This window comes from Homo sapiens, chromosome 8, assembly GCF_000001405.40.
Source record: "Homo sapiens chromosome 8, GRCh38.p14 Primary Assembly".
Lineage (NCBI taxonomy): Eukaryota > Metazoa > Chordata > Mammalia > Primates > Hominidae > Homo > Homo sapiens.
In genome coordinates, this window is record NC_000008.11 from 119,508,758 (window position 1) to 119,516,926 (window position 8,169).

Consider the following 8,169-nt stretch of genomic DNA (forward strand, 5'->3'; position numbering starts at 1 on the left):
AGAACCGCACTGAGAAGTGGAAATGGCAGAACATGCTAAGAAAGAAAAATTGTTTACCTAGGAGACTTAACATAAACTTTCTCCTCCTCAAAACACTTGCTAGGATTGGTCCTCCTGTCTCTTCCTTGCTGCTACTAGGTTTGCTTTATTTTCCCTAACAATGAAATGTAGAAGATCTGGACTTTTATTCCATAAAATAGACATTTATTGAATGCCTACCAAGTGGCAAGCACTGTGATAGGTGTGGGGAATCTAACAAACAGACTTGTCAACTGCCCCTTTGGAGCTCACAGTCCATGGAATCTGACTTGGCGAAGAAAGCCCAAGACAAAGCCTTGAGATTTTCCTCTATTAAGGACTGGGTAAATGTAACAAAGAGGAAGAAGGTGAAGATGTTCATAGCTAAGCAAGAGGAGGCAGGAGGAGATGAGATTCAGAGAAGAAGCAGAGATGAGTCTTAGGTCAGAGAAGGATGGCCTCTCCATTGATACAAAGGAACCACCTAGTTATTCAACAAATAGAAACTTGCACTCAGTCTTTATGTGAAACTAGGCTAGGTCCTAACGATTTAGTTATCAAAAAGACTTATCAATAGGTATTCCAGGAAGCCAACTCTAAGTTGGAGGTCAGCATGCGGGAGGTTTTTTTAAAGGGATTTATTAAGATCAATAGCCCGATAAAAGGAGAGGATAAAAGCAGGATCAAGCAGAAGAAAGGGTCAAACTGCAATGCAAGTCCAAGGACAGCTTCAGCAAACCCCACAGGGAGCTCTGGAGCTAGGATGTTCCTTAGAGTTCTCCCCTGTTGAACTGAGATGGTCACATGTACCAGCCATTGATGGGACCACCCTGGGATGTGGTGTTGGGCAAGGTGCCTCTCTGCTGATGAGGCAATCACACTGAAGGTGCTGGCCGCTGAAGGCCACCTACCAACAGCACTCCTTGCATCTGGGGAAACAAGTGCTTCATTGACAGAAGATCTGGGGGACACATCATAGTGCTTATCCCAAAGAACAATATAGTCTCGGCTTCATGGGGGTCATGATCTTGCCTAAGATACGGACATTAAACAACAAATCCAGCAGGTGGCAGCATCATGATTGAGGTTGGTCGACCTGGATTAAAGCAGGATTTGTTGAGTCAGGGTCCTTGGATGCAAACATTCAAAAGGACTCGTTACCTAAAGCTTAAAGGGACTTTTGGGAGGGCATAGACCAGATCAGGAAAGTGACAAGAAGGACCAAGTACCAAGCTCAAAAATGTGTAGAAATAGCAAATAGAGGTTTGACATCCAGAACCTCAACCAAGATCCTGCTATAGAAGCAGTCTGGATTGAGTATCTCTTCTGACCCTAGGAAACACTGGGTGCCACCACCTCAAAAAATACATATTTTGTTGAATGAAAATTTACATTTTTCACATTTCTTTGTTAAGAAAAAGAAAGCAAACCTAGTAGGCACATGGAAGATTTGGAAGAACCAAGCCTAGCTAGTGTTTTGAGGAGGAAAAAGTACATGTTAAGCCTCCTAGGTGGCCTGTTTTTCTCTTTCTTAGCACAGTCTACCATTTCCACTTCCCAGCACCCTTCTTCCGTCATCTCTTCCGCTTTACTTTCATTTCTTCTTTCACTTTAAATGCAAATGATTGACACAACTAAAGTGTTATTCTCAAAGGAAAAAGTGTTTTCATAAATAATAGCAACAAAGATGAAAGGTATAACAAATAATTATGATAGCCATCGTCATGTTAATCTGGCACATTATTTTTGGCTTTGCAAAAGAAAATTACCTACACTGTCTCATTTGATACATACAATGCTATGAAACCACTCTTATTTCTACCTTACAGATGATGATGCTGAAACTCAGGGAGTTTAAACTTCCTACCCCAAATTACACAGCTAGTAAGTGCAAGATCAAGGGTCAACTCTATGTCTAATCCTGAATCCCATGATCTATTTTTTATGTCATGTCGTTGAAGGCAAAAACCTAGAATTTCAGGCACTTCTGGTTGCCAGGTGAAGGAGAATTAGTCAATTTCTAGCTTATGGAACTTATCAGAGGGGATGAATTCTGGCCTATTCCTTGCCACTCTGCATCACTGGTTTCAAATTTATAGACTTGAGCATGAGCATCTCTTCATCAAGCACACACAGGTGGCCACATTCTAACTATCAACATCTGGCCTTTCAGGCTTCCTCTTGCAAAGAAGGATTTTCAAACATCAGAAGAGGGTTCAGGCACTGCACTGATTTTTTTTTAATGCGTAAAGAGCAAAGACCCATCAATTTTGGCTTGGTACTCATGAGAAGAGGTTAATGTTATGCAGATGCTAGAGACCCCAAGCTCATGAAGGGCATTCAGACAGTGGGCTGATAAAGCAGATAAACACTAAACAACAGACCATCACTTGGATTCAGTGCTTGTGAGAAGCGGTTAATTAACGTTATGCAGATGCTGGGTCAAGCTGGATAGATGTGGTATTGACAGAAGGCTTTTGGTCTCAGCAAAGTAATTAAACTGCACTCAGGAGATCAAGGCCAAATCTCAGTCAGAAGATGGAGGTTAGAGAGGAAAAGCGAAGCTCAGCGAGTGGGCACATACCCATAGCCCACCCCCAGCACAATAGTAATTCCAAATTCTTTCCAGTGGGAAGGGGAGGGCTCTTGAAATATAGCCCAATTGGCCAGGACTGGCTCAGACAGTAAGTAACGGCTGTCTTTGAGCTGAAAGTTTTCTGTTCCAGCAAATGAGTGGGGCTGGAAAAGGTAATGGCAGGAAGATAAATGACATGGAAGGAAGCTTGACTAACTTTCTTTTCTACCTCCTCCAGAGCCTTCCCCTCACCCCCACATAAAAAGACAATGTTTATTTGACACCAACTATACTAAACACTGTGCTAGGTATGTCCACAAATTTTCTCTTTAAAAACCTCAAATTGAGATCTGTTTTGCTCATTTTTCTCACTGCAGAAGCTGAGTATCATAGATGTTAAATAACTCGTCCTGAATCTCCCCAAAAACAGTGTGCCCATTTTCTATTACCTGTACTCTCTCACCCCTTACTTTATTCTAGATTCTTCACTCTCACCTTACTTGCATAGGCACTTTATATTTCTTAGATTCATATTTCTCGAACTGGAATTTATACTATTATTAGAATGTTGAAGGTATTTGAGGTCATAGGCTTAGCATAAAGTACATTTCTGCGATGACAATTTTATTTGAGGATTTCGCAGGACTGGGGTTGCTGGTTGAGGGAGGGCAAAGGGTTAAATAACTTAATTCATTAGTGTTTAAAATAGTTTCATATTAAAACAAATACAGATTCGTTGAAGATATGAATATTTAAGACAAAATGGGTAATGTCAAGGATATCTCAAATCACTTTGGGCCACACTGCAAATCCCCCTGAGATATACATTCACTCTTCTCAGTCATTAAAAGACCTAGAGTTAGATAGATCAGTAGAATGACAATAGTTAACATTAATTGTACATTTCAAAATACCTAGAAAGAATAATTTGTACATTTCTAGCATAAAGAAAAGATAAATATTTAAGATGATGGATATTCCAGTTACTCTTATTTGATTATATGAATGTATCAAATTATCCATTTACCCCTAAAATAGGTACATCTCATATCTAGCAGTGAAAATTTTTTAAAAATATTTATTGTGAGAAGTCATGGGGAAAACTCAGTTAAGCTCCCTGCCACCTCCCAAGTCCACTTGGGCACCTGACTCTGGGATCATTCAAGAGGTTCCCCATCTTGGAAGAAGACGAAATATCAATACCCACTCAGAAAAGCCCAGGCACTGGGGAAACTCCAATGGAAGAAGACCTTAAGCCTGCCATCTTTGGAAAGAGTGGAAATTTCTAGATACAAAAGAATGACTCAGAGGCCCAAAAGTGTAAAAGGAGTAATGAGATGAAATGGAACAGAGGAACACCTTGGCTTCGGGTCAGGAAAATTTCCAGACAGTAAGAACTGTTAGGTGACTGACACATCTAGGAGGAAAATGAGGGGTGTCCTGGCGCTTAGTTCTTCAAACCCGGTAGGAATAAGGCAAGCCTGGTCTACAGGAAACCATCTGTCCTGACTCCGGGAGGGTAAGATGGACAAGCAGGTCATTTTCAGCTCCTATTTCAGTTGCCCTATGGAACAGGGGTGATTCAAACTGTATGTCGTTAAAACCACTCTTCATGTCGGTGGTTTGGTTGTTTGGGTTCTTTTAAAGTACCACGTGACAAAGGCCCTTATGACAAAACAAAGTTTGTTTCAAACCTAACTCTCTTATCTTCTCTTCCCCATGCATGTAAAGTAATATGCTTTCTCTTAGAACTAGTTCCAGGGTAAACTGGATTTATGTAGTGCTTTATGTAAACCATGAGGCCAAAGAACAGAATATGAAAGATCCCACACTGGGCTGGATCAAATTTCAGGATAGCCTGAGGTTCTGAATCTGACAGTGGTACCCAGGGACATGCTGGTTGTTGTTAACCTCGAAGGGACACAGGGACAAGCCCTGGGCAAACAAACACATCTCTCTCATGGGCAGACCTTTTATGAAGGTCTCCATCTCTAGAGAATAGTAAAAACAGCGTAGGCTTTCAGAATCAGACAAAGCTGGATTCTGACTTACCCTGTCACACAGAAAAAGATGCTTTGAGGAGAGACTTAATTGGAACCTCATCTGTAAAATGCACAAAATAAAGCATGACTGAGAAAATGAAATGAACAAAGGTATGTGCAGTGCTGAGCACAGCAACTAGCATACAGCAGGTGCTTAATAAATTATAACAAATAATATATGGTGATTCTGTTTAGAAATCTCTTAAGACTCTATATGTTTTCTCAATTCCTGGTGCATTAGTATTGGAGTTCAGGTGTTTATGAGGTCCAAGCCATTATTATAATTATGTTCCTCTAATGAGTGATTTCCCGTCTAACCATGAGATACCTGCTGCCTTCCTAGTTGGAAGGGAATGTTGGTGTTTTGCTAGCAGTGCCCCAACTCCAGACTTCAAGGGAAGCCCTGTTCTGTTCATTCTTGGTCCCTAGGGTGGTCTTAACAGCTCAGACTTCCTTTCTCAACCCTTTCCTGGCTCCTAAGTGATTAACCTATTCCCTCCCTTCCAGATGCTATGAGTTAACCTTCCTCTTTTATGGGTTTACCTGAACAAACATAACGCTCTCTCACATCTGCCATTTAAATAAGAGGAGATATATTACTTACATGTTGCAATGAAAATGTTATAAGCATCAGGAAGAAATGTGTAACAGCTTGTGGCTGCCTTAGCTGTATGTTGGGGTTTACCAAGCAACCTCTTTAATTGCCATTGCTGCAATATTCACAGATCTGGCATGTAGTTTTAAAAACACACCTAAATAAATAAATTAGAGAACTGCTCTGATGGGGACAAGGTCTACAGCTCTGTCATTTCTGATTAACAAGCTTCTTTGTTTCTCACAGTTTTATAGCTGCTGCGGAATTGGAAAGGAGGCCCTTGAGATGGCCATGGGCCACTTATTCCATGATCAGTCCAAGTCTATGATACAGCTGTTTCTTGATTTGCTGGTAATCACTCATTAATAAAATCAGATTTGTGTTCATCTTCAGGCAGTGGGAATATCTGGGATGTGCTCCTGTCAAGAAAATATGTCCTAGTGTCACAAGTAAATGTGAAAAACAAGGAGTAAATACTACAAGGAGGAAAGTTAGGGCCATGGAAGAATGGTAAGTTTCTGCTGTTTATATTCGCTGGGCCATTCCAGAGTCATTTCTGTCATTGCAAAGACCCAGGCTTCTTAGGGAAAACAACAGGAACGTATTTCATCAGCATTTTTTTTTTTTTTTAGTACTCAAGGGGTGCTCATTTGCCTTTGCTTCCAGCTATCTTGCACCTATTTGCCCTGAAGTTCAAGTGCCTGAATTCTTCTTCAACCCCATCAGATATTATGCTGCTAGTACTTATTAGTATCCTGGGGTATTTTAGACTAACTATGGTTTGGAATAAAAATTATGGAGACAGACTCTGGCTACCTTACGCAGAAAAGGAATTAACTACACAGGCATTGGATACCTTACAGAATTGGCAAGAAAATGTGGTAACCAGCCTTGGCAGGAACTGAGGGACTCTCAGCCAAGGTCCTTCCTAAAAATGATCTGCCTAGAACACCACTGCTGATCTTCAGCCATCAGATTCTTGCTATAATGACACAGACTTATGACTTTGCCACAGCCTCCATGAATAATTTTTAACTGACCATGCCACTTGCATCATTCCTTCTACATTCAAAGTAGACACTAGGGAATGTGGTTGACCAACCATGGGTCACATGATGATGTCTCAGTTACTGAGCTAGGAATAGTACGGCCCATTCCTTTCACTTTCTATAGAGAGAATAACCCCCCCACCTATCTTAGGACTTGCCCCAAAACACAAAAGATGTTTTTAAATTCTGCGCAGCGAAAATGACCAGCATCCATTATAGTCCATCACATTTGCTAACAACCTCTAGGATCCATCTTTTCTTCTGAGCATTTCCAAAAACACTGCTACCATCTAATGCAATGAAACCATCCTCAGGACAACCAAAAAGTCATCATCTCCTGAATCGGAGGCAAAGCAAAGCCTCAACTGGCATTGGAGCCAGTTCCAGATATGAAGTCTATTCTCCTCCCTGGTATCCTACCAAATGAAGTCAGCCCCTAACAACACAAAATATTGTGCATACATATAAACATGGGACAGAGCCAGATAGCAGAAAAGGAAAGTACACACACACGCACACACATACACATACACACACACACACTACATTAAGAAAAGAAATATGATTTGAAGCCATATTTCTCATTGGTAACTAATATGAGGCTACAACTATGGTTACAGGTTAGGTTCTTTGGAAAGTAGATTCTGAGATAGGATTTCGCTTGCAGGATATTTATTAAGGAGAGCTCTTGGGATCAACTCCTATAGAAGGGTAGTGAAGGGAGCAGAGTAGACAAAGGAAAAAGTCAAGCTGAAATGCTGACCCAACAGCCCTAGTCAGTGCTGTGGAGACCTTGAGAGCTAGAATGACCACTCAGAGTTGACTCAAGTTGGGCTGAGATGACCAGGTCTTTAAATCCCCACATTGATCCATCACTAAATGTGGGTCACCCCATGAAGGGGCATGAACTTGAGTGAGGCAGCTCTCTATAGCTGAGTCAATCTCTGAAGGGGTTGAAAACTAAAAGATCTCTGCAGTCTCTCATAAGCTGGGGCAACAATTCATTCAATGAGGGGTAATCTAGGGGGTGTATCACAGTGTCCATCATAGCTGGTATTTATGATTTTCTTCCTCTTCTTCCTGTTCTATATTACCTTTGTCTTGAACAAGCACTTCAGCTAATTAGTATTCTTTATCCAGTGGGGTAACCCAAACCTTTATTTTTCAGGATGCTAAAGTCCAAACTCACATCATAGTCTTTCCCTTCTACAGGTAGAGCTGAGACTTTATAGGATGATCCACTGTTCAATAAGGACTACTGATAATGAAAAGGTAAGATATGGCCAGTAGGCCGGGCATGGTGGCTCACGCCTATAATCCCAGCACTTTGGGAGCCCGAGGCAGGAGGATCACCTGAGCTCAGGAGTTCGAGACGAGCCTGACCAACGTGGAGAAACCCCGTCTCTACTAAAAAATACAAAATTAGCCAGGTGTGGTGGCACATGCCTGTAATCCCAGCTACTCGGGAAGCTGAGGCAGGAGAATCACTTGAACCCAGGAGGTGGAGGTTGTGGTGAGCTTAGATGCTGCCATTGCACTCCAGCCTGGGCAACAAGAGCGAAACTCCGTCTCAAAAAAAAATTAAAATAAAAATAAAAAAATAAGATATGGCCAGTAAAATTTCTCAAGCATCAGTCCATTCTCTAACATCTTTACACTAAGTGAGTTCCTTGGTAAGAAACAATATTGTTGGAGATGCTGTAACATTGTGTAGGGCATTCCTAGGTTCAAATGATAGCTCTGGCAAAACCCAGTGAGGACAAGCCATACCCTCTCTATGAAGATGGGTCCATTTTAATCAATCTTCCATCAGGACTCACAGATGATCTTTAATGCCAACAAATTTGTTAGTGGTGGTTCCTAGCTCATCAGTGGTGAAGTGGCAGATCA

At 41.3% G+C, this 8,169-nt stretch overlaps 1 annotated feature.

Annotated features, from left to right (window-relative positions):
* Positions 972-1,266: a silencer, noted in NCBI's record as "tiled region #15323; K562 Repressive non-DNase unmatched - State 13:Ctcf". NCBI's record gives its function as "represses a minimal TATA promoter and a strong SV40 promoter by Sharpr-MPRA in K562 cells {active_cell/tissue: K562}" and the evidence as "EXISTENCE:reporter gene assay evidence [ECO:0000049][PMID:27701403]".